This window comes from Homo sapiens, chromosome 3 (genome assembly GCF_000001405.40).
Source record: "Homo sapiens chromosome 3, GRCh38.p14 Primary Assembly".
Taxonomy (NCBI): Eukaryota; Metazoa; Chordata; class Mammalia; order Primates; family Hominidae; genus Homo; species Homo sapiens.
In genome coordinates this window covers 164,641,633-164,669,621 of record NC_000003.12, presented here as the reverse complement: position 1 = coordinate 164,669,621, position 27,989 = coordinate 164,641,633, and the positions used below count along the sequence as shown (strand labels likewise).

At 34.4% G+C, this 27,989-nt stretch overlaps 2 long non-coding RNA genes across 3 annotated transcripts in view; one reads left to right on the top strand and one right to left on the bottom strand.

The window, feature by feature from the left end:
* LOC105374191 (uncharacterized) overlaps positions 1-27,989 on the bottom strand; it is a 237,185-nt gene that overhangs the window by 18,250 nt on the left and 190,946 nt on the right. The window lies entirely within an intron of this gene.
* Positions 9,111-17,729, top strand: LOC107986151 (uncharacterized). Its single transcript, XR_001741002.2, has 3 exons — positions 9,111-9,194; positions 13,705-13,757; positions 17,283-17,729. It is a non-coding gene; the product is annotated as an uncharacterized LOC107986151 (long non-coding RNA).

The following is a 27,989-nucleotide window of genomic DNA, read 5'->3' as shown; positions in this document are numbered from 1 at the left end:
AGGGAATCCTTTCCCCACTGCTTGTTTTTGTCAGGTTTGTCAAATATCAGATGGTTGTAAATATGTGGTATTATCTCTGAGGCCTCTATTCTGTTCCATTGGCCTATATATCTGTTTTGGTACCAGTACCATGCTCTTTTGGTTACTGTAGCCTTTTAGCATAGTTTGAAGTCAGGTAGTGTGATGCCCCCAGCTTTGTTCTTTTTGCTTAGGATTGTCTTGGCTATATGGGCTCTTTTTTGATTCCATATGAAATTTTAAGTACTTTTTTTTCTAATTCTGTGAAGAAAGTCAATGGTAGCTTGATGGGGATTGCATTGAATCTATAAATTACTTTGAGCAGTATGGCCGTTTTCATGATATTGATTCTTCCTATCCATGAACATGGAATGTTTTTCCATTTGTTTGTGTCCTCTCTTATTTCCTTGAGCCATGGTTTGTAGTTTTCCTTGAAGAGGTCCTTCACATCCCTTGTAAGTTGTATCCCTAGGTATTTTATTCTCTTTGTAGCAATTGTGAATGGGAGTTCACTCATGATTTGGCTTTCTATTTGTCTATTATTGGTCTATAGGAATGTTTGTAATTTTTGCATAATAATGGTTAAGGAAGATAATTCATAAAGATAAAGGAATAAAAAAGTAGAAAACTTCAAATAAACAACCTACTGATGTATATTAAGACTAGAAAAACACAACAGCAAACCGAACACAAAATTTATAGGAAAAAGAAATGACAGAAGAGCAGAAATAAATGAAATTGAATCAAAGAAAACACAAAAGATGAATAGAAGGAAAAGTCACTTTTGTAAAAGACAAAGAAAACTGACTAAGAACAAAATGAGAGAAGGTTCAAATAAACTAGAGATGAAACATGAGACATTACAAACGATTCAGCAGAAATCCAAAGAATCATCGATGAGTTGGAACATTCATCAAAAAAGACCATATTCTTTGTCATAAAACACAAAGTAACACATTTAGTAGGATAGAAATTATACAAAGTATCTTCTCATATCACAGAGGAATCAAATAGAATAGGAAACCAGAAAAACAGCTGGAAAAATCCCCAAATATCTGGAAAGTAAACAACATAATTCTAAGTAACCCATGGTTTGAACAATAAATCTGAAGAGAAATTTAAAAAATATTTTGAACTAAGTAAAATGAAAATACAACTTATCAAGATTAGTGCAATATATTGGGTTTATCTTCCTAAGTCAATAGATTTGGCAGTGATAATATTAGATAGCAGAGGTCACTGTTGGGTCACCATGGGTTTGGAGGCGATCGCTTCACATTTTTTATTCTTTTAACAACTTTTTGATCAGTAACATATGATCAGAAATTGAGACAACTATAACTCTTGAAACTTTATCACTGAAATGTAAAGGAGTCAATCATTCATATCTTTCATTATTGTCATGGAATTTACAATTCTGGATTCCATTTATTCCCTAATCTAGAAGCAGTGAGTCATTATTATATAATAAAATAAGGCCCTTTTACTTTTACTCTTTATTTAGCAGGGCTCTTTATATACAAAAGATGTCACCAAATAAACATGTATCTTGATCTAATCACAGGAAAACACTGTCTTTTCTGCAGTTAGATATAAATAGTCTTGATATGTACCAATATGGTTTGTCATTAATGATCTTGGCTTCCTAAGAGTTTCATAAGAAACATAAAGTAAATGTTTTGTTTATCATTTGAGGAATTATATCCATGAATTCCATGTGCCACTCTTGATTTTCCCCACTATGGTTTCATTAGTGGAGGCAAAGTCCATTGCCTGGACTTCTTCCACGTCTAGCACTACAGAGTTGTTTGTTACATCAATGTCAACTCTTAATTAGAAGTTAATAACCAGAAGAAACTTATTGAAAGTCTCCTCACTACCACCACTATCATAATCTTTGTAATTTGGAAATTACTTGATACACAAGTTCTGCCATGTTTACCTCAGATGAGCCTTTTATGCACATCTTTTCCCATCTCTGTTTATATTTTTTTGAAAAAGACTATGAGATAGTCCTCAAGACATTTGCCTTTTGAGCTATGGATTCTTTTCAATTTGCTTATTGGAGACATGATTATTATTATTATTATTAATTTTTTTTGATGGAGTTTCGCTCTTGTTGCCCAGGCTGGAGTGCAATGGCGTGATCTCGGCTCACTGCAAATTCCACCTCCTGGGTTCAAGCGATTCTCCTGCTTCAGCCTTCTGAGTAGCTGGGATTACAGGGATGTGCACCACGCCCGGCTAATTTTGTGTTTTTAGTAGAGACGGGGTTTCTCCATGTTGGTCAGGCTGGTCTCGAATTCCGGACCTCGGGAGATCTGCTCGCCTCAGCCTCCCAAAGTGCTGGGATTACAGGTGTCAGCCACCACGCCCTGCCAAGTGACACTATTCTTTTGGATAATTATCACTGGTAATGAGGCTGCCCATTACCTTTTTCCCAATAACTGACTTCATATTTTGAGAACAAATCCAAAATATTTTGAGTTCATATTCCCCGCATCCGTTAATTTTCCTCCATTCGATTTCATTACTATTAACTCTGGCTACGTACATGGTAATTATTTAATGATGAGTATATGTATGCTTGCATGTGCACACATGTGTGTACAAATTTTAAGTGTCAGTGACATGAAGAATGAAACTTGCATAATTAATTCGATAGATGGTAAATATGAACATGACTGTAAGGTAGTTATTTAGGGGTTAGTTTTTTTCTAATGTCCTTTCCCAAATTCCTTGATTGTTTATTGAATTATATATTAGAGAATAAATATTCACAGAAAATATATTTTTCAATTCTAGCCCAGAGTCTGTAAATTATGAACTTTCATAAGTTTTAACCTCCCCTGGTCCTCAATTTGCATCCCTGAGTGAAATCTATTCACTTGAAACGATAAATATTTTTAAGCAATTTTCATGCTCAAATGGTCATGAAATTGAGGGGGCTTTCAGCTTCAGCAAGTCATATACATTTCCTGTTTTCCTTAACTCACTTTTCGTTGTGCAGATGTGGCATGTGTTCCTACGTTACTAATAAGGGGAATCCTTTTTGCAAGTAGGCACCATTAGGAAGAATTTTACATTAAATTATTTTCAACTTTACTTAAAGGAAATGAAGAACAATTCAAAATGCCATGAAATATAAAGCTTATATCAAAACATCACCATTAAAAACATATGGAATAAAAATTTTCATTTCTTCATTTTGAGCTCAAAGACAATAATTAGTATTAATCCAAGAAAGGATACTATAAATAATAGACACTATTATGTAATTGTTTTCTATTTTATATTACCTGTCATGCTTTTGTTAACACTAAAACATTATTAAATACCTATAACATATTAATAATAGCCTCACCATGTTGTTTCCTAGTGTTTTTCATGTATTATTTTTTTTATTCTCACAAAAAACCTACCAAAGCAAAATCATTATTATTTGTATATTACAGATTTGGGAAAAAATTGAGAGAAGTCATACAACCTACATAAATTCTGGATTAAGTGTGCTTAATTCTCACACTATATTTTGTCTCCTCTTCTTACATATTTCCTTCAAAATAGATCAACCAGGACATGAGATCAGCTATTTATTGTCTATTTTAAAATTTTCTTCAAAATTGGTTAATATTCCTATACATATATTTGTCATTATATGTTTTTATTTAAGATTATTAAACTGTAACATGTGCATTGATTTTCACTTTATTTTGCATATGTTGTGAATACAAATAGTGTGAATTCTAAACTTTATCGAGGTTTAATGATGCAATGATGCTATATTAAACATAGGGAGGTCACATATTCTAAATGAAATTTAGCTGATCATAATGCATGATAAAAATATATTTATTCTGCACTTTTTCAGTGGACCAGTCAGGACTATGACAAAGAGATACTTCATGAGACTGATTTATGGGAAGAGAATAAAATTAGGAGAAAGTTGAAGATATTATTATAATCTTGCTGGAATCATATTTGTTTTTAAAAAAGGTTTTACAAAAAATTTATCTCTGTGTAAGGCTTGGATAAGGTTAATACTGTTTTTATAATGTCATCAGTCCTCTTATGTTTAATGATAAATTTTCCAAGATTTACTCAGGCCATTGAAGTCTCTAACCTGGTACATTATGTTAGAACCCTACAGGAATACAACTTTTAGGAAAGTGTTTTGAGCTCCTAAATCATTTTTAAAATGGTTACTTAAGAAATGTTTATATGATGCATCATTTTCCTATTAACATTGTCTCTAAAATACATTACCCAAATAGATAATATTTGAAATGCAACAAGTTATATAGCTTCATAAATTATTTATGGACCAGAAGGCTCTATACGAATGTGCGATATCACATACACACAACGATATTCAATAAGTATAATAAATAACAGTGTAAAACCTATTTTCGTAGGGAAACGATACATAAGTAATAATACCTGCTTGAATGGAGTCCTTTTTTTCATAAAACAATATAAGATAACTTGATTTCCAGGTTTCTCTTTTAATAGTTTATAAATATGAAATGATGAAGTCCAGATGAAGTCCAAAATATGTACAATTTCATATCTTACATTTGTAAACTACACTAATGTGCTTCAATTTTGTTTAAAAATGCATATTGAGCAATGATTATTATCAATAATTTTATCTTTAAAAAAATGTTATGAAGAGAAGGGGATCTCACTGTGTTGCCCAGGCTGGTCTTAAACTCCTGGCCTCAAGTGATCCTCCCTCAGTCTCCCAAAAAGCTGTGAGTATAGCTTTGAGCTACTGCACCTGGTTGATTACGTGCAATTTTTAAAGGCAATTTATATGAAAGAAACTACTAGTAACTCTCTCTGTTATATAACATATCACATTCCATTATGATAGTTGCCTGAATATTCTATGACACCCCCTTCCTTTTTTTTATTTTCCTTAAATGTAAAGATGTTTGGAGATGGAATATTTGGGTGATAGTAATACATTTTAAGAGCAAAACTGATAATATTAGTAGATGTTGGACATGAGGAGAATTGACTTTGACAGAAGAATATTTCAGTGTTGTTAAGAACATAACGACTTATTAGGAAAAGGCACCATTCAAATTATTCAAACTGGTTAATATGGTATTTTCAGGAATACCTTTTTTAATTGAAACTATTATGTTTTTAGAAAAAAACAAAATGCTTTATTTTTGAAGGTGTTTTTACGTGAAGACAAGAGAAACAGTCATAAGAGGTCTCCTCATCAGCTGTAAAAGTCTGTACAACCATCCATGGCCCTTGGATAAATCAGAATTTAATCAAGATTAGTAGGTATCATTTCCCACACCATCTTTATACAAAATTTACTTCCGCACATAAATTTGTCATATTTATCTTAAATTGTTCTTACATATATATATACATACACATATATGTATATATGTATATTGACTTTCTATATCTATATATATACACATATGTATATATGTATATTGATTTTCACTTTATTTTGCATGTGTTGTGAATACAAATAGTGTGAATTCTAAACTTTATCAAGGTTTAATGATGTGTACATCATTACATCACGTATATGTGTATGTACAATGATGTGTACATACACATTTATGTGTATGTATATATATAGAGAAGTGTATGTATATATATGTATATATATATACACATGTATGTATATATATGTATATATATACACATGTATGTATATATATGTATATATATACACATGTATGTATATATATGTATATATATACACATGTATGTATATATATGTATATATATACACATGTATGTATATATATGTATATATATACACATGTATGTGTATATACACATATATGTATGTATATATATGTACATATATGTGTATGTATATGTGTGTGTATATACATATTTTCTTTTCTAATGGCCATTGTTATAAAGACATCCAGAGGCTAACTTAAGAGCTCATAGAGATTTTAGGATTCAACCACATTTTGGTATTTGCAGAGCCGAGGAAGACTTCATACCATATGTCCACATATTTCAAAATATAAGTAATGCACCAAATTATTAAAACATTCCTTCTGCCTTGGTAAATATGTTAATTATACAAAATTTAAAAATATGCAGTTGTATTATGACTTAAAACATGAATTTATCAAAGATAAGTATATTTAATTATTTTGATTCTGCTGATACCTGTGTCAAAGCAAAAATTACATGGGGCAAAGTTAAACAGGCAAGGAAGAATGTATTCAAGGCTAATACATTAGGAGAGGGAGACTGCAACCTAGATTCCACTCCACTGAAATAGAGGCCTGGAGAGTTTTAAAGAGCTAAGTTAGGATGGGGAATAGGGAGGGATTGTAGGACATGTGTGTTTATTAAAAGTAAACTTTCTCATACTGTCATAGTAGGAAATAGTTTTATAAGTAAGATAAAAGTATCCACAGAAGATAGGCTCCTACTCACAGAGAGTAAGAGATAAGGGTTCTATCTTCTTTCATAATTATATTTCAAAGGCATGGCTGTCATATTCTTGAAAAAGACAGTCCTGGATTGTAAAATTGGCCAGAGGCTTTTTACAAAGTTTTACATCTCATAGGGGCAGAGAAAATTTATAATGGCAAGTTTTTAAAAGTAAATACTTCAAGAAAAGAGAAGGAAGAGACCTCTGAGATTACTTTATTTGGATTTACATATTGTAATGGTCAGGGTGAGAGCAAGGTCTAGAGATGGGAAGAAACATGTCTGTAGTTTAGTCAAGCTGAGGAAAACAGTATGCTTATCTTTGTTACTTGGATAAGTAATAAAATAAAAATCTGCATTATTTATAAAATATTACTTATATATTTTTTGCATTTATTTAGTCAAAATGACTATTAACAATAATTCCCTAAAAAAGTCAAAATCAAGACATAATTATGTTTGAAATATAAAAATTGAATGTAAAATAAATTTAAAATTAAAAAAATTAAACTATTATACATGTTTTTCTTCAAATGTTATATTAATATTGAAAGGAAAATATACATTATAGTTGAGTCATAGTTTTTTTATCTAAATAATTAAAATTGAATATTTAAAAGTGAATTTATAAAAACATAATTACAAGTCTTTAAAAATATCTTGATAAAAATGAAATGGCTTTACTTACAATTCTAATGTTCAGTGTCTCTATAGATGGCTATGTTAAGAATTGGGACCATGTATCTTGAATGTTTTATCTAGATCTATCTATCCAATTTTCAGAATAACGTGATTTATAAAATAGGGCAAAATGTTTCTCAGCCACTTTGTACAAAAGATTCTCAATTCCTTCAGACAAACTGGAACACAAAAATAAGCAAGAAAATGGACATTAATCTCAACTGAGAAGTGATACAGTTGAACCTCAGTATCCCTGAATTTTGCATTCGAGCATTCAGTTGACAATGGATTGAAAACCCATGGATACAGAGGACCAACTGTATTGAAAAAAAAAATTGAACAGAAAATCAGGTACAACAGCACTAGTGTGTGTATATTTGGAGTTATTGACGGAGGTGGGGAGGACTAGAATAAAACATATTTGAAATAACTGTGGCTGAAAACATTCATTTTAAAATTACATCAGTTTGTTTTTGCTTTTGTTTTTGTTTTGCAATAATCTATTTTTATCCCTGAAACTGAGAAAAAATTATTTGATAATGGATTTATCTTTTAACTGTTTCTGTAATTCAGATCCTCCACATTCACAAGCAGTGTCTGATTCCAGGTTCAGTAGCAGCAGAATCCACAGACTTTCATGCTTTGGGATTATCACCTTTGGCTTTGAGGATGTGGATCTGCATGTTGGTAATGACAGAGAATGTTCCAATATATGATGTCCTTGAGCGCAGCACTGAATTTAAATGTCATCTATATTTTCTTCAATGTATTTATTTCATATATGTGCTTGTGATATACAGGTTTATCTAGAGTGTGAGGGCCACAATAATGGTTCCTCTTACCAGTGTCTATGTAGACAGTTAATCCCAGACTAAATTCTATGAGGTATAGAATCACTATTACGGTATACTCTTAATTTTTTATTAAAATTTTAAACCATTTACCTGAACTTTGTTCTAATGATACTGTTGTTTTGATAATAACAATGAATTAAAAACCTGTGTGGGTCTAAGAGAAATGTGTGGGATACTATGTTCAATTATCTGAATGTTGAGAAATAAAGGCATTAATCTGTCTGTATTTGGTTTATACGTTTATTGAATCCACATAGCATTCTTTGACCTATACAATTAAGACAAATAGCACGTTTCGATGAATTTTTCATTGTAATAATTCATATCTATCAGCCAATTTTTACTTAGTGAGACTATGTACTTGATAGAAATGTTAATATTTGCTAGAATAATGCTGCTGTTTTTCACAGGCTAAAAATATTAGGAATGGAATCAAATAAGAGAAAGAGATCAAACTCAGAAATGAGAAATTGACTGTGTTTTTGTTTTTAAGTTATAAATCAAAAATAATGTTTATATCACTCCAAAGCTTCATAGTTATCTAGTCATAGCAGGTTTTTGTTTTGTTTTGTTTTGTTTTGTTTTTGATACAGAGGTCTTGCTATGTTGCTTAGGCTGGACTTGAACTATGGGGCTCATGAAATTCCCCCACCTGTCTCAGCTTCCTGAATAGCTGGGCTGCAGTGTCTGGCCTATTAGATGATATTTTAGTAAATGACTTGACTGACGGTTGTAAATTTCTCCATCAAACTAAAGTGAAATGTTTGGCTCCAATAAAATATATTCATTCTAATTAAAAGTGTATGGCACAAATCCATTGTGAATACTTGAACTATGTGTTAAAATATTCCTGAGCATAGTAGTAATATGTAAAAGGCCAGCAAGAAAATTCGAACTAGGAGGTAAACAATCTCTGAGAATATTGTATCAAATTTGAGAACATTAAACTCTTACAAGATAGGAGTGTTTTTGAATAAAACTGATACATCCTGTAAAGAAAAGTATACTCTAAATCATATCCATGTATACAATTAAGAGGCTGTAGAGCCATTGAGCATGAATTACCACAAGTAATAAGGTATAGTCCGTTTCCCAAGTAATTGCTTGTTACTTGTTATCTTAGGTACACCAGCAGTCAAGGTGCTGGCATATGACATAGACCTCTTCAATCACTTGCACCTTTTGGAGTTGGAAATACAAAAACTAGTAAGTGTGAGGAAGCTGTTCTCCTGAGGTCTGCACCAGGGAAGACAGCTACATCTACATTCGGGTGGCAGCACTGGAAATGGTTTGAGCAATGCTCTCAGTGTGCAGAGCTGGTGGAATCAGAGATGCATATTGAAGCGTCTGTACTAAATGACAGCTATGGTCTGAATGTATCCCCCCAAATTCAAGCATTGAAAACTTAATGCCCAATGCAACAGTGTTGGGAGGTGGGGCCTAAAAAGAGGTGAATACGTCATGAGGGATCTGCCCTCATGAATGAATTTATGTTTTTATCTCATGAGTGTAGTCATCACAGCAGTGGGCTTTTTATAAAAGCAAGTTCGGCTTCCTCTTGCTCTCTGGCTCTCTTATCCTTTAGCCTTGTACCACGGAATGATGCAAAAAGAAGGATCTCATCAGATTTGGGTGTCCCTATGTTGAAATTCTCATGCTACACAACTGTAAGAAATAATTTTTTAATAAATTAACCAATATATGGTATTCTATTATAACAGAATGAAATGGACTAACACAAGGACATTATTAGCAAAGGAGCATTGGTGCATTTATTATGTGATATAACTAACTTTTGATGTTACCCTTGGCTACATAGCCTCTGAAGTTGATTCCAGAGATCCCCCATAACTTGTGTAAGCTATCAACATTTTTATCTGAATTCCCTTTCTGTTTAAATTAGCCAAAACAAATATCTGATGCTTGCAATTAATAATCCTGATGAATGTAAGGAACAGATTAATTAAAATACTTAAAACACTGTCTTCTAAAAATAAAACTTCCCCATAGTTCAAAACTCTTTATGTCCTTAATTATATAAATAAATGTGATATACACTTATTATATGTGACTTTCTATGGTAGAGCTAGCAATTTTTTAAGTACCTTGATTCTCATGCTTTATTGTGGTTATTCTTTTGTTTTTAACCAGATTATAACTGCTTATTGACAATTGGAAAGCATTTACTCATGTGAATCCCTAAAGGAACCAGCTTTATTTCAAGTCAAAGCTTTTATAAAAACATCTTTGTAAAATTATCTCCTTATCTGTTGTTTATTTCATTATAATTGATATATTTCATTATATCATTATATCAATAAACAGTGAGTTTGCCATTGTAATCATCCATTTATGTACACAGTCTGCTTTCTGTATTTGCAGGTTTTACACTCACAAATTTAACCACAGATGAAAAATATTTATAAAAAATGAAATATCAAACAACAATAAAAAATATAAAAAACCAAATGTTTTAAAATAAATTTACATAGCATTTACATTGTATTTAGTGCTACAAGTAATCTAGAGATGATTTAAGGTTTACGTAAAAACTTGAACATTCATAAATTTTGTTATCCATAGGAGTCCTGTAACCAATTCCCTGGTTAGAGATGACTATACATTTTATATATCTATATCAACATCTATCTAGCTGTCTATAAAGAGAGCATTTTTTGTAAATAAAATAAATGAAAGAGGCTCTTTAAATATTTTTCAAGTCAAGTATCTTGAGGAATGAATTAAATTGTCCAGACAATGCCTCTACTTTATAAATAGTTCACTTTTTCTCCATGCCTGACACCATGGGTACTTTATTAAAGGCACTTAAAGCTATGATGTTAAGCTTAAGATTTTGCCCTACAATTTGTGTTTAAGCACTAAATTTTGTTTTTGTTTTTGTTTCCCAGTCTCAATTTCTTTCTTTGATAATTAGGTTTTCAATCTCTGTCCCTCTGCCCTCTCCCCTTTCCCCTGTTCTTTGTATATGAAAGCTTTATTGCAAGGTTTTCCTGAGCATAACTGTGGTTTTTCCCCAAGACGCTACTTCTACCTTGCTCCCGACATCTTCAGGAAAGGCAGCCAGTGAGTTGTTCAGCTATATCTGTCCTTGATGCAGGTTTGCTGCATGCTGCACCTAGCCCAAGCCTCACTCCATGGGCTCCAGTTTGGGGGAGGAGATAATCTGACAAGAATAACTTAATAGCCAGAGGCAGCCTGAGCACCAAGTACATAGTTGCCAGGACAGCAGAAATGCTAAGTTTACCTTAAGAGATGAGCAGCTTTTTAAAAGTGTCTAGCTGCAGGGAATTAAAGCTTCCAGATGGCAGAATTGCTGCTGATCTGCATCCAGACACTCCACCCTGCAATTCCTTAAGACATAGCCCTATTTTCAGCAATTCTAACCTTAAATTTAAAAGACAGTCTTCTTTCCTTACCCACTTTACCTTTTTTCTACCCTCACAAAATGTGTAGGACGCACTTATTTTTTTCTTTGCAAATTTTAGGTACAAACATTTAAAAATAGTATGTGTAATTTAGTTTGGAAAATAATGAAATAGATCCAGAAGAATAGAACTATTTACTCTCTCACACACACACTTGAGTCAAATAGTGCAAATAATTATACCTGCCTAGGCTTCAGGTCACTCTTTGGAAAAAATTATTGTTTACGATATTCTGTGAGAGCAAAAGTTACAGTTCCTTGATTTAATAAAGAGCTACTGTAAAAGACTCTAAAATTCTAATGCAAAATATGTAATGTCCTACGATCTCACCATCTGGAGATCAGACTCTTGGCAACTTGAAACACAGGCATGATTCCAAACTTAGAATAATTCAAAATGGTTCTGGGTATTAAATATAGACTTCAGATGTCCCAGTCACTGTACTTCCTTCATTAAAGATGAATTAAAACTATATCATAAGGCTTAAGAAAGTTGTTCGTAAATGAACACAAAAGTGAAATATTTTATTTCTAAACAAAACCAGGTAAATATTAAAAGGCCTCAGAAGTATATCATCTTTTATCTTAATAACCCATTGTTTCAGAACCATTTATTAGATAAACTGTTCTCTTTCTACTGATTTGTAAAATCATCTCTGTCACAGACGGAATTCCTCTAAATGTGTAGGTCTGCTTCTAGGTTCTTTATTCTGTATCTGTGATCTATTTCTCTATGTTTATTTCATAATAACATAGTTTGAATTACTAAGCTAATAGCATGTCTCGAAATTTGACAGAGACATTTCCGTATTTTATTCTGCAAATTGTCCTGCCTATTCTTAGCCATTTACTTTTATGTTACAGTTAGGATAGGCTTCTTGAGTTCCTTTAAAAAGAAAACATGGGAGCCGTATTTCATGGTTTCTATTATGTATTGTGATGACCAAGGCAATGAGACAATTGAAAAGTAAATGTTAAAAACACAAACAAAGGCCAGGCCGGGCACGGTGGCTCACGCCTGTAATCCCAGCACTTTGGGAGGCCCAGGTGGGTGGATCACTTGAGGTCAGGAGTTCAAGACCAGTCTGGCCAACATGGTGAAACCTCGTCTCTACTAAAAATACAAAAAGTTAGCCAGGCATGGTGGCAGATACCTGTAATCCCAGCTACTCAGGAGGCTGAGGCAGGAGAATCACTTGAACGCTGGAGGCGGAGGTTGCAGTGAGCCAAGATCGAGCCATTGCACTCCAGCCTGGGGAACAAGAGTGAAGCCCCGACTCAAAAAAAAAAAACAAACCACTAACATAAAAATGAGAATAAAACATTTTGTTGATGATACATTTTGAATTGCTGGTAAATAGAAATTATCAAATTTTAAATGTTGATCTTGTATCCTGAAAAGTTCACTTGTCCATCTTATACTAACATTTTAAAAGTTCTCATATAAAAATTAGAGTTTATTCTCCTTTTTATATTTATGTTTTTAACATTTACTTTTCTATTATTTAATTGCATTGTTCAGGACAATACATCATAGAAACCATGAAATATGTCTTGCTCTTAAATTTAGTAGGAATTTATTCCATAGTATCTTTATTATTAGTGATTGTTTCTGTATATATTAGATGGCCTTAGTTATGTTAATAAAGTTCATTTTGATTCACAGTTTGCTAAGAACCTGTCTTTAATGCCATGAATGTGTACTGAATTATATTAAGTGCTTTTCAGCATGTATTGAGGTAATTTTTTTAATGTCAATTAATTTGATGTATTACACTGTCAGATTTTTGAAGTTGAACTATATTTCTATGCCATCAACAATATTTGTTTCCATTTTTTAACTCCATATTTTTGAACTATTATTTAGAATGTCTATATTTGAATAGTGAATGAGATTGAGATTATCTCTCTATCTCTGTATTTATCTGGGGCCTAATTAGCTTAGGACAATCAGGGATAAACCTGTAGTTTAAGAAAGCCAGGGATGATGACTTATACCAGGGAAATCACAGTCTAAAGCCACCACGGACATCTCACGAAAAACTGGAAAACATAAAGTAATTATGAGACTTTGGAGAAAGTTTGAATTTATGTAAAATTTAATTGAAGTGTTTTGATTGGCTCAAATCAAAGTAGGTCTGTTTGTAAAGGGGTCAATGTGAACATGGGACTGCAAGGGGAATCCAGACTTCTCTTTCTTTGAAAACTATAAACTAATGATGAATGTGAAATGCTGTGTTCATAAACCCCTTATCTGACGTTCCCCAACAGGACTGGAAATCAAGACAGCTTCTCTGTGTCAAAGCCCCAGGTAGATCCGCCAGGTAAGACTAAGATAGTGCATTTATACTGATGTAATTTTAAACAACAGAGTTTCTGGTAGTTTTCCATTTTGGAAATAGAGAACAAAATTTTGCTATAAATAAGAAAGAAATAGTCACTCAAACGTATGCTATGATTCTTTAAAGTTGCAGAGTGATCTTGGCCAAAAAAAAAAAGTTACTTGTTAACTCAGTAGCTAGCTTTATCTTCACCTGTCATTCCAGCCTGATTAATGCAAGAGCAGATTTATGCTTTCCCATTTGTAGCTGATTATCTGTCTCTCTCTCCACTTCTCATATATATTTGTATTTATACATGTATACAAACATGCATACATTTATATATCAACACATACGTACATTGGTAATAATACATTTATATTATAAACTAATGAGATATTATAAATTCACAGACTAACAGTTTCATACAGACATAAACACACATATAATAATTTTATACTTTTACTGTTCCTGCCTGTTTTAATACCAAATATTTAATTGTCTGCAAAACTTCAGTTATATTGATGTCCCACTTTAGAAAAGTGTAATCATCCACATTGTTAACAACGTGCTTTCTATTTTTTGTTTTCAATGTTATAGTTTCAAGAATATAGATATGTGTAGAAGATAATCTAATAAAATAAAACCACCTGTGGTCCTACTAACACGCTTCAAAAAGTATTGTCATTTTGCTAATTATGCTTCATATTTGCTTTTCTTTAAGGAACATAATGTTACAGACATTGCTAATATCTCCTAATCCTAATCTCCTCTACCCCCCCTACCCATTGTTAGCAACTGAATTTTAGTTATGCACAAACATATACATAAACAGAGTGAAATATATATATAAATATATAAATATGATTAAAATGAAGAACAATCACTGAAAAACAAAAAGAATACATAAACGCACACATATATACACACACACATACAGATATATTATTTTCGTTTTTCAGTGACTCATTTTCATTTTCATGATAAGTAATTGATAGTTTGTTGTTGTTGTTGTTTTTAGGCAGAGTCTCGCTCTGTAACCCAGGCTGGAATGCGATGGCATGATTTCGGCTCACTGCAATCTCAGCCTCCCGGGTTCAAGAGTTTCTCCTGCCTCAGCCTCCCAAGTTTGTAAAGCCTCTTTACAAACAGCCCTACTTTGATTTGAGCCAATCAAAACACTTCATTTAAATTTTACATAAATTCAAACTTTCTCCAAAGTCTCATAATTACTTTATGTTTTCCAGTTTTTCGTGAGATGTCCATGGTGGCTTTAGACTGTGATTTCCCTGGTATAAGTCATCATCCCTGGCTTTCTTAAACTACAGATTTATCCCTGATTGTCCTAAGCTAATTAGGCTCCAAATAAATACAGATAAAGAGAGAGAATCTCAATCTCATTCACTATTCAAATATAGACATTCAAAATAACAGTTCAAAAATATGGAGTCAAAAAATGGAAACAAATATTGTTGATGGCATAGAAATATAGTTCAACTTAAATCCCAAGGATTACAGGTGTGCGCCACTGTGCTCAGTAAATTGTTTTATTTTTAGTAGAGATGGGGCTTCACCATGTTGGTCAGGCTGGTCTCAAACTCCTGACCTCAGGTGATCTGCCCACCTCGGCCTCCCAAAGTGCTGAGATTACAAGCATGAGCCACCACGCCTGTCCAATAGTCTTTATATCCATTCTTATTTATTTTATTACTTACTATCATTGTTTTATAACATCTTGGAAATTTGTGGTGGTGTTTGATTCCATTTTTTTTGCTTATTTTAGTTGTCATGTTTTTGTTTTAGTAAGCTAACCATGTTTATTTCAAGTTTTATTTTCACTTATATCCGTTATTATTTTTGTCAAAATTATATTTCAATTCCTGTTTTGGTAATAGATTTAGTCATCTGTTTCCTCAAAATCTTCATGAATTTTGATTTTCAGCTTTACTAGGGGTGGAACACTTATTTTCTCTCCTTTTTGTCCTGTCTTTTCTGCATTGACATTTGTCTAGTAGTTTCGTATTTTCTTATTTTTAGTTTCTGTGGAGTTACCACTTTTGAAATATATTGAAGGACTTTAACTATCTCCCTTTTCTTAGAGGGATGGGAATATTGAAAATAAATTAGATCCAATGAGCAAGCCATCAGTAAATTTGCCAAATTTTGGATATAATGTGTTGTACTCTTGTCCACATTTGTAGCTCCAAATAAGTCATTGCTCAAATAGCCCTTAGCTTGAATTTTTCTTTAGATGTGTTCTTGAGTAGGGGAACCCCTTCCCATTTCTGGATGCAGGTATTCTGTATCAAGCTCTTTTTATCTGTCTGCCACTGATATAAATAACTTTGAATTTCCATTGTTCTACACTTCTTGCCATATCTACCTGCTTTTGGAAGACAGACCTCAGCAGCCTATACTTTCTGCCTTGTTCAGTGCTTTGAATTTTAAATCACAGATATCCTCGTTTTTAAATGTAGCACTGTGTTGTTTTAATTCATCAACCATTGCTATATGTTTGCAGTAATGGATAAGGCAGAATTTTCCCCAACATAGTCTAATAACACCATCATATAAATGAAGCATATTTACCTTATTTTCATATTTATAGTGGAAACCCCTATAATTGCTTTACCATTGTGTGTGTTACATCCCTACTATTTTCCCAGAGGTAAGTTTTGTTGAATGAATAAATGAATGAATGAATAAAAATTAACAAATGAACATTTCTTGACTTGGTAGAGAAATATTACAAGAAAAACTTATGGTATTATTATCATTTACTTACAATATTCACATGTAATTCAGGTGCTGTATCTTATTTGATAATTAAAGTTACGTGTGTTTTAGATTCCTCTTATTTTACTTGAATGATTTCCTTTTGAAAATGGTTAGTTCCCTGTTAGATAAATATTTAAGAAAAATAAGACAATATTTTCCTAAGGATGTGAGAGTTTGAAACTGGACTTAACCTAATGGCACAAAAAATATTCTTTCTCTACTGAGAAAGCTAACTATATTTTAAACTTCTTATTAATACAAATAATTATTTTGGATCCTCTAAAGGAAATACATTTTAAACTATTTTTAATATTAGAAAGGATTTGAAAAGGCATTTCTACTAAGTATATTTCTGTTAAATAAGATCATGTAATTTTCTTTCTGAAACAAGACTTAATTTGAAACAAGAGTCTCATAGAAATATTGCTCAACATACCAGTGACATCGTAAAATAATGAAATCATTTGAACATAAATGGAATTGTTAAATTTAATTTTATAGAAATGTTCAACTTACTTTTTATTTTATTAAAATAATGGTGAGCTAGGAAATTAATTTTTTAAAATATTGTATATTATCACCCTTAGAATACAAACATTTATAACACAGCCTTTCAAATATTCTATGAGTATACATACGCTATTTTCTGACATTTTAATGTTACAAATATATTCCTATGCCTGTTTAAATGCAGCGACACCCCTTTCTTACCAACTATTGTTTGTATTTTTCTTTGTTGTTTATTCCTAGCATGAGCTGCTTCATGATTGATGATCCAGCAAGCTGTTACAACCATTCAGAGAGCACGCTGTGTCTTCATTTTTACCCTATTAACTTAAATGCCAGGGTTCATTGGCACATTACAGTTGCTAAAATTCAATCTGACCAACCACATGGAAGAAAAAAAGACTGAAAATTTAGTCAGAAATCTCTCGGTATATACGTATCCATCACATTACTTATGAAAGTTGTCTGGTCCAAAATACAGGCTTTGCCATCTGTGGTAATAAATCTAATGGCAAACTTCACATGGTTACCTGTGATCATGCTTAAAAACAGACACACATCTGATAATGCCATTACTGTAGTTAGAAATGTTTGACCACACCGAAGCTTTTTAAAAAATTACCAGAAATAAGTTAAACTTCATCCATAAATATATAAATAAATGCAAACTTAATGGTTATTGTCTCTAAATCTATCCTCATGCTCTTATTTTACCTAGCTGTATCTCTTACTCTACACTGCTGGGAAATTCTAGGCTCTATATTCCCGCAATACAGACCATAAATAGTCCTGCCACCATGTCACCTACTTTACCTCTATGTCTTTGTTCAGGTGATTTTCATTTTTGGAATATTCTCTTTTTAACCGTAGAACAACTAAAATCCTACCTATCCCTCAAGGTCTGGTTGTAAACATTAGTGCTACTTGCAGGCTACCTCAGTTCTGAAGACGGAGTTGTTATCTTCCTCCTTCGTTCTCACAAACGACTTCATATCTACTGATATAGCTAGGATATTTGTTCCTGCCCAAGTCTGATGTTGAATTGTAACCCACAGTTCTGGAGGTGGGGTCTGGTGGGAGGTGTTTGAATCATGGGGGCAGATTCCTCATGGCTTGGTGCTGTCTTCATAATAGTGAGTTCTCGGGACTTCTGGTAATTTGAAAGTGTGTGTGGCACCTCTTCCCGGACTCACTCTTTCTTGCTCCTGTTTTCACCATGGGACATGCAAGCTTCCACTTCACCTTCTGCCATAAGTAGAAGCTTCCGAAGGCCTCACTAGAAGCCATGTTTCCAGTACAGCCTGCAGAACTGTGAGCCAATGTATTGGCCCATTCTCATGCTGCTATGAAAAAATACCTGAGACTGGGTAATTTACAAAAGAAGGAGGTTTTAAATTGACTCATGGTTCTGCATGGCTGGGGAGGCTTCAAGAAACTTACAATCATAGCAGAAGGCAAAGGAGAAGTAGGTACCTTCTTCACAGGGCAGCAGGACTGAGTGAGCGCAAGCAGCGGAAATGGCAGATGCTTATAAAACCATCGGATCTCTTGAAACTCACTATCATGAGGACAGCATGGGGGAAACCACACCCATGATCCAAATACCTCCACCCTTGATCCAAAGGATGACACGTGGGGATTAGGGAGTATGATGGTTCATACTGAGTGTCAACCTGATTAGATTGAAGGATGCAAAGTATTGATCCTGGGTATGTTTGTGAGGGTGTTGCCAGAAGTGATTAACATTTGAGTCAGTGGGCTGGGGAAAGCAGACTCACCTGTATTAGTTTGTTTTCACACTACTGATAAAAGCGTGCCCCAGACTGGGCAATTTACAATAGAAAGAGCTTTAATTGGACTTATAGTTCCGCATGGCTGGCAAAGCCTCACAATCATGGCAGAAGGCAAGAAGGAGCAAGTAACATCTTATGTGGATGGCAGCAGGCAAAGAGAGAGATTGGGCAGGGAAACTCCCCCTGATAGTATCATAATACTATCAGATCTCATGAGACTTATTTGCTATCATGAGAACAGCACGGGAAAGACCTGGCCCATGATTCAGTTACCTCCCACCAGGTTCCTCTCACAACACGTGAGAATTTGAGATGAGATTTGGGTTGGGAAACAGCCAAACCATATCATTCCACTCCTGGCCCCTCTGAATCTCATGTCGTCACATTTCAAAACTAATCATACCTTCCCAACAGCCCCCCAAAGTCTTAACTCATTTCAGCAATTACTCAAAAGTCCATAGTCCAATGTCTCATCTGAGATAAGCCAAGTCCCTTCTGCCTATGAACCTGGAAAATCAAAACCAAGTTAGTTACTTCCTAGATACAGTAGGGGTACAGGAATTGGGTAAATATAGCCATTCCAAATAGGAGAAGTTGGCCACAACAAAGGCCTACAGGCCCCATGCAGTTCGAAATCCAGTGGGGCAGTCAAATCTTAAAGCTCCCAGATAATCTCCTTTGACACCATGTCCCACATCCAAGTCATGCTGAAGCAAGAAGTGGGTTCCCCTGGTCTTGGGCAGCCCTACCCCTGTGGCTTTGCAGTGTACAATCTCCCTCCCAGCTGCTTTCACAGGCTGGGCATTGAGAGTCTGTGGCTTTTACAGGTGCATGGTGCAAGCTGTTGGTGGATCTACCATTCTGAGGTCTGGAGGATGGTGGCCTTCTTCTCACAGCTCCACTAGGTGGTGCCCCAGTAGGTACTCTGTTGGAGGGGGGGCTCCAACCCCACATTTCTCTTCTTCACTGCCCTAGCAGAGGTTCTCCATGAGAGCTCCACCCCTGAAAACAAACTTCTACCTGGACATCCAGGAGTTTCCATACATCCTCTGAAATCTAAGCAGATGTCACCAAACCTCAATTCTTGACTTCATGCACTCACAGGCTCAACACCACATGGAAGCTCCCAAGGCTTGAGATTTGCACCCTCTGAAGCCATGGCTCGAGCTCTACGTTGCCCCCTTTCAGCCATAGTTGGAACTGCTGGGACACAGAGCATGAAGTCCCTAGGCCATACACAGCATGGGGACCCTGGGCCTGGCCCAGGAAACCATTTCCTTCTAGGTCTCCAGGACTGTGATGGGAGGGACTGCTGTGAAGACCTCTGACATGCCCTGGAGACATTTTCCCCATTGTCTTGGGGATCAACATTCAGCTCCTTATTTCTCATGCAAATTTGTATAGCCTGCTTGAATTTCTCCCCAGAAAACGGCTTTTTCTTTTCTATCGCATTGTCAGGCTGCAAATTGTCCAAACTTTTATGCTCTGCTTCCCTTATAAAGTTGAATGCCTTTAACAGCACCCAAGTCACCTCTTCAATGATTTGCTGCTTAGAAATTTCTTCCTCCAGATACCCTAAATCATCTCTCTCAACTTGTAAGTTCCACAAATCTCTAGGGCAGGGGCAAAATGCTGCCAGCCTCTTTGCTAAAACGTAACAAGAGTCACCTTTGCTCTAGTTACCAACAAGTTCCTCATCTCCACCTGAGACCACCTCAACCTGGACCTTATTGTCCATATCACTATCAGGATTTTGGTCAAAGCAATTCAACAAGTTTCTAGGAAGTTTCAAACTTTCTCACATTTTCCTGTCTTCTTCTGAGCCCTCCAAGCTGTTGCAACCTCTGCCTGTCACCCAGTTCCAAAGCTGCTTCCATGTGTTCAGGTATCTTTTCAGCAGTCCCACACTCTACTGGTACCAATTCACTGTATTAGTTCATTTTCATGCTGCTTATAAAAACACAATACCCAAGACTCGGCAATTTACAATAGAAAGAGGTTTAATTGGACTTACAGTTCCACATGGCTGGGGAAGCCTCACAATCATGGCAGAAGGCAAGGAGGAGCAAGTAATGTCTTACGTGGATGGCAGCAGGCAAAGAGAAAGATTGGGCAGGGAAACTCCCCCTTATGATGCAGTCAGATCTCATGAAACTAATTCACTATGATAAGAACAGCCTGGGAAAGACTTGCCCCCATGATTCAATTACCTCCCACTAGGTTCCTTCCACAACATATGGGAATTCAAGATGAGATTTGGGTGGAGACACAGCCAAACCATATCAGGTGAATGCTCAGCCTCACTAGGTGGCTACTGTTAAAAAGAGAACATTGCTTGGGGAAAAAAATGGGACCCTGTAATCTGTGATGGGGATGTGTGGGAGGTCCCTGATGAAGCTGAAGACACCAAGCTCCTAAATTCTGTTTAGCCTTTTTTGCCAGAGGAAACGGCCTCCTTATCCCCAGTGGTGGCAACATCCCCTCCCCAACCCAGGCTGCCATCAGCCTTTCCACCTTTGTCAGAGGAGATTAATCCTGCATTCCCTGAGGAAGCAGCAGTGGCCTTAGTATCACCACCCATAATCTGAGTGGGCACCATCTAATCAGCTGCCAGAGAATATAAAGCAGGCAGAAAAACATGAAAAGCCTAGACTGGCTTAGCCTTCCAGCCTACATCTTTCTCCTGTGCTGGATGCTTCCTGCGATCAAACATCGAACTCCAGGTTCTTCAGCTTTGGGACTCAGACCGGTTTCCTTGCTCCTCAGCTCTTGTGATTGTTTGAGTTAATACTACTTAATAAATTCCCCTTTTTATATAGGTATCTATCTATCATATTATCTCTGTCCCGCTTTAGAACCCTAATATAAGGGGATTACAAATCAAGATGAGACTTTGTGTTGGGACACAGCCAAACCATATCAGCCAATGAAACCTGTTTTTGTGTTTTTTGTTTTTTTTCTAAATTACCCAGTCTCAGGTATTTCTTTATATCAATATATTTATATAAATTATATGTCTATATTAATTATAGTAATTTGATTTAAACTAGATCCAATCTAATCAAATAAACATGTTTTGACTGTGATTCTATTCCAGGTAGTATGCTAGTCATATACATATATAATCTCCGTTCAAAGAATTTACAGATTGATAGAAAATAAATAATTATGTGACCTTCTGTACGTCAAGTGCAGCAATAAGCAAATGTGTTACAAGAGAAGCCTATATGGTCTAATGAAGAATATTAGAACTATTATTGCAGAAGTTTAAAGTACAAAGCAAGGAATTACATGAAATCAAGCTGGAAATATAGGCTGAAGACATATTATGAAGGGTCTTATGAGATATATTAAGGAGCTTGGAATATTTCACTTTATGTATTAGGGAGTAATAGAATTATTTGGAGTAAGAAGAGTAAAAAGTTGCTAAAGAGAAGGAGTGATAGGGAATAAATAGTTGTTTTTACAGTGACTATGGAGTAAAATAAATAGGACCAAATCTTAAATTTGAAGTATGAAATGAAAGAACAAAAGTGAGGGAGAGTTCCAAATATTTAGGAAGTAGGAAAACAAGCAGCAACTGATTGCATGTAGTGAAAAAACAAAAGACTTAATGCCATCTCTAGACATTCTTCTCACCCTCTATGAGGTGGTAATGTAGAGGTTTGTACTGTAATACTATAGAATCCCCTGGTTTATAACTATTTTCTGCCAGCTACTCAATCTCTTTTTCATTAAAGACTTGACCTGAAGTGGTGGCTTATGCCTGTAATCCCAACTCTTTGGGGGGCCTAGGCAGGTGGATCACCTGAGGTCAGGAGTTAGAGACCAGTCCGACCAACATGGTGAAACTTCGTCTCTACCAAAAATCCAAAAGTAGCCGGGTGTGATGGCACGTGCCTGTAATCCCAGCTAGCAACTAGGGAGGCTGAGACAGGAGAATCACTTGAACCCAGGAGATGGAGGTTGCAGTGAGCTGTGATCACGCCACTGTACTCCAGCCTGGGCTATAGTGCCAGTTCATGCTTTTTCTTTCCACTCTAAATCCTATAATTTTTCTATGTTGTTCTTAAGGTTGACACATCTACCGCCTGGCCTCTTAGGTCCAAAACTCCTCAATTCTAATTGACTCCTAAGGCCAGACTCTTTAGATGGTTATTTGACAACCTTCTTTCCTTCCAATTCATTGTTCATAATCGCTTCATCTGTTTCATCTCAACAACCATCAACCTGGAATATCCCCCACTTTGCAGAGCTAATTCCTAAGCATTTTTCACAATTCAAAGCCAATTAGGGATCAGGCCTCCTACCTCCAGTCTAAATCAGTCTCCCTTCCTGTTCTATGCAGGGTCCATTTTCACAATCATTTTTTTAGCCCCAGTTGCATTGTTGCTACATAGACCTCGAAACCTAAGTTCAGCTGGACTAAGCTGAAGGAAAAGACACAACAATGCAGACAGGATTCCCTTCAAATTCATAACTAATAAACTTACGTGATCTCAGATGACTGCCAAGGATAACTACAACCTGCTTTTATTCTATTTTTTCTCTCACTCTCCTAGATAACTATTTCATTCTTTTTCTCTTTCCAACCCTCCAAAATTTTCTTTCCATACTCTCAGCTGATTGTCTTTTTTCCTAACTCACTTGCAAAACAAAAGCCACAAAAAGAGATCCTATAAAACTTCCTTATCACAACCATTTCCTATATATTTTTTTTTCCTCTTGGATGCACTAAATTCAGTCTTTTCTTATGTGCATGAAACCCAGACCCTCTCATCTTTTCAACAACGCCATTTTTATTAGTTTTGGTACTCATACTTTATTGGATCAGTCCATAATCTTACAAAAAGTTGTTGTTTCCAGAGTTTATATAAATTAACAAGCTGACACACAAAACTTACCCTAAACATATATTCCGTCTTCTGCTAAACCCCACTTTCTTCTCCCTTTTTAGAAAAATAATCTTAAAGAAGTTTCTATCCACACTATTTCTTGTTGTTCACTTTCTGTTTTTACTCAAACCAATCCAATCAGGCCTTTGCCACATCTGTTGCTACTGAAAATTTTATTTTACTATTAGTACTAACTTCCAATGATGAAGTCTCAGTTTTCACCTGACTTAACCTATCAAGTGCTTTTGACACAACTGATCTAATTTGCTTAAAATAAAATAAGTGTGGCAGGGTACACAGGTGAATTCTTCGTAGTAGTCAAAGTGGCAGCTTCACTATGCATAATCAGACTTCTGCATTCCCAAGCAAACTCATCCTATTAAAGGAATTTAGTTAGAAGAAATAATACAGCTGAACCAGGTAAAATGTGATGGCTTTGGATTTATGAAAATTGAGAGAAGCTTGATAAAATATAAAACAAGAAAGATAAAATATAAGAAAAGGAATAGAAGAAGGATATATTTAAATCATTTTTCTAATATTCTTTTTATATTTATATTATTTTATATTCTTATAAGAATATAAATCCTTCAATGTATACTAGGACTTATGCTTCTCTTGCCCATAACAAATATACTTGTGTATAAAAATTACCTGTTAATTACTAAATTACTCAATATTTATATATTTTCAAAGATTCCTTTTCAATCATTGATCATGTGAGACAAAAGGGACTAGGTTCTAAACTAGATATATTAATAGTTTCCAGATAATATAAAATAATATGATTAGTTGAGGCAGACTTACAGTCTTAAGTTAGCTTCAGAAATATCATCATTATCTATTTTTAATTTTTTTAAATTATTTTTTAAATTTTTGTGGGTACATAGTATGTGTATATATTTATGGGGTACATGAGATGTTTTGATACAGGCATACAATGTGAAATAAGCACATCATGGAGAATGGAGTATCCATACACTCAAACATTCACTCTGAGTAACAATCCATAAAGAGAGCGATATTTGCTTAAACACCATTCCGTTATTTACCCAAGTTTAAGACAGACGCAGAGGAATAATCTCTTGAAAATACTTCATTATGTACATTATGAAAATAATTTTATGACTATTTTATTTCTATGGCTTTCAAATCCATTTTTGTATACGTTCATTATGTAAATGTCAACAACTTCTATTATAGACATTTTCACATTTCTGCTATCATACATAATTATATTTAATTCATAAAGAATAGACATTATCCTTTCACTTAAACCATCATGTTTTTAAATACCATTATAATTTAAGTGTATACATGTGAATGTATATTTGTATGCATGTACATATATATAATATACATATTTCAAAATGTAAATTGGTTTGCCCTGCTGTTGCTTTGAGCCATTTAAAATGTTCTGACTTTAGTTTATGTAATCATAACTACTTATAGTTCATAAAAGGAGATTTTCATAGGAAACTAAAGGTGCAAGGCCACACACTAAAGATGTTAAAATGTGTGCAAAGAATGCCTGTTTAATTTTCAGCAGTGTAGGTGTGAAATAGTCTTTCTTTCACTTAAGTTTATCATTTAGCTATAAAATATTCATAACAGAGGCAAGAATAAAAATAAAAAAGCTGCGAAGAATGGAAAATTAAAGGTAATGAAATAAACTTGATTAATTCTGAAACAGAAGGTGAACCAAACCCTGAAACACTATTACAAACGGTTGCACCAGGGATAGACGTGCTTCAAATCCAAATGCAAGCTAAGGAAGGTAGGCAGCCTCTAGAAGCTAGAAAAGGCAAGAAAACAGACCATCTCATAGGGCTTCCAGGAAGAAAACAGCCCGGTGACACCTTGATTTTAGCCCAGTAAGACCCATCCAGACTTCTAACCTCCAGAACTGTAAGATGCCCCAAATATTCATACATTTGTGCTGTTTTTAAGCTACTAAGTTTGTGGCGATTTGTTACGATAGTAATAGAAAACAAATAAAAGGCTTTACCAATGATTACATTTTGATAGAAGTGGGTAATTTTTTAAGATAATTATGTGTATGCATGTATGTATCTCAAAATGCTCAGGTTTTGCAAACAACTTGGCTTCAAAGATTGTGGTTTTTGTTATCAATTTGGAGATGTATTCAGAAAATCAGCTTAAGGTTATTTACACCCTGCTCAAAGGCATTGTTCATAGAAATCTATCACTACCATATGAATCAAGAGAGAAGTATATTAGATAGAAGGACGCACTAAGAAAAGATCATTCACTAAAATTCTACCTAATCCTTCCTATTATTCTATTTTCACAAAGAACGATTATTTCATGTCTGGTTGTCTTTCCCTCCATATTTAAGAAAATAGTTATCACTAGAAATAATGTATTCCTTACAGAATACTCTTTAATTTTCTTTCCCCCCAGCCACCCCCACCCCACCATCCCAGTTTGGTGGAATGAATACTTTTACTCTTAGGAGGATTACTTGCTTGACTACTTTTAAAATGATCAACTCTACCACTTGGAAGACTCTTCTTTCTTCTAACCTAATGTATGTGAATTGAGCTCTCCTTATAGGGAAACTGATAAGCATACATTATGTTTGATAAGAATTGAATGCAAATATTCTGCCATCAGTCCACATATATCAGTTGTTTGATACTGGGCACTAGGAAGACTGGAAAAGACACTAGGAAAACAATCTACTTGTGGGTCTAGCTTGACTATACTCATTGATCTATTTCTGGTTTTCAAAGTACTTCCAGACTACTTAGTTTTGACATGATAACTGGGTATTATTTTCTTAGGTACCATTTTCTTGACATTGTTTATTTTCCATTACTCAAAATAGAAGGGGCATTGTGCCCCATTTACACCATGAGGACAAGTTTTCTTCAAATTTGAGAACTCTTAATTTGGCTAATAATCACTATATTTTTACAATGAACACAGTTAGATGAGGCTTGGTTCTTTCAGAAAATTCGAAGCTGTTGAATTCTTTAGCAAATTATGCCACATTTATCCAGGACACTTTCTTATTGTTAAGGATATTCCTTATTTTCCTTTTTTCATAATTTTTTTCTTTTTTTAAAAAATTGGTTAAATTGTGATTAGAAAATGAGTCTTAATTTAGAAAAACAATCAATATCAGTAATTCCCTACAACCATTGATAAACTGCCTTATCACTTTTGTGTTTATCTATCTATTCAGATCGCCATAAAAACACATAAACACAAAAATAGCTGAGACTATATTTTATATATTATATTTTGTAGAAAATTGATTTTTACTTAACAGATACAAACATCACTGCGTATTAATACATTTACGCTTTTAAGTGTCAAAAGACCAACAATTCTAATTTCTTATCTGCCTAATTTTTATCCTCCTCTACCTTTTCTTCTATCCTTCTATGGCAACTCAAAGAAACATTTATTAATGTTCCTACCAGTAATGCACCACTGTGCTAGTAGTGGCTGCTAAATCCTTTTCACAATGGCAGGTCTTCCAGAGGCTGAGTTTTCTTGATTACAGACAGAAGGAGATTCTTCAGGGAGTGTAAATTTAGCTTGATATGGAGCAATAGGATTGGCAGTTGTGATTGGAAAAGTAAAATAGTGAAGAGTAAATACTGGCCATAAATACAAAAGGGGATGACAGCAATATTAATATGCTTTTCTTACAACTTGCATATATAAGAACTGTGGCACAAGGTCACAAATAATGATCATACATTTAATACATATAGCAGTTGGTTATCACTAATACTATCTATTTGAGTGTACGAAATGATTAAATGGGCTTCGACATAGCAAAAGCATATGGAGATATCAGCTAAGCCAAAGCATCCCAATCATAGAGCTTCTATTAAGGCCCTGCTGAAACAAATCCGAGTTTAATTTAAACTCCACAGGAAAGGGTGCTCTTTGCTCATCAACTGCTGTTTTTGCCTCAACACTAAGGAGTGGGGCTTTTTATCAGCCACCTGCTCCTCCACAAAACTGTATAAAATGAAATGGTTATCTATATATATTTTTTATTTTTATGGTTTTCAACAGTCCGGGTCATGATCCAGAATTGCTGCAGAGATATTGCCAAGACAGAAAAAGTGTAAAGCCTCTTAATATTTTGAATCAGCCTAAGCAGGATAGGAAGACTTATGCATAAAAATCATTACTTAACACATGTGCTGGGCAATGAGTGGAAGGGGAGGCCAGTGGCATTGCTGCTCCAAACTTTGTGCTAAGTACTTTCAAATGAA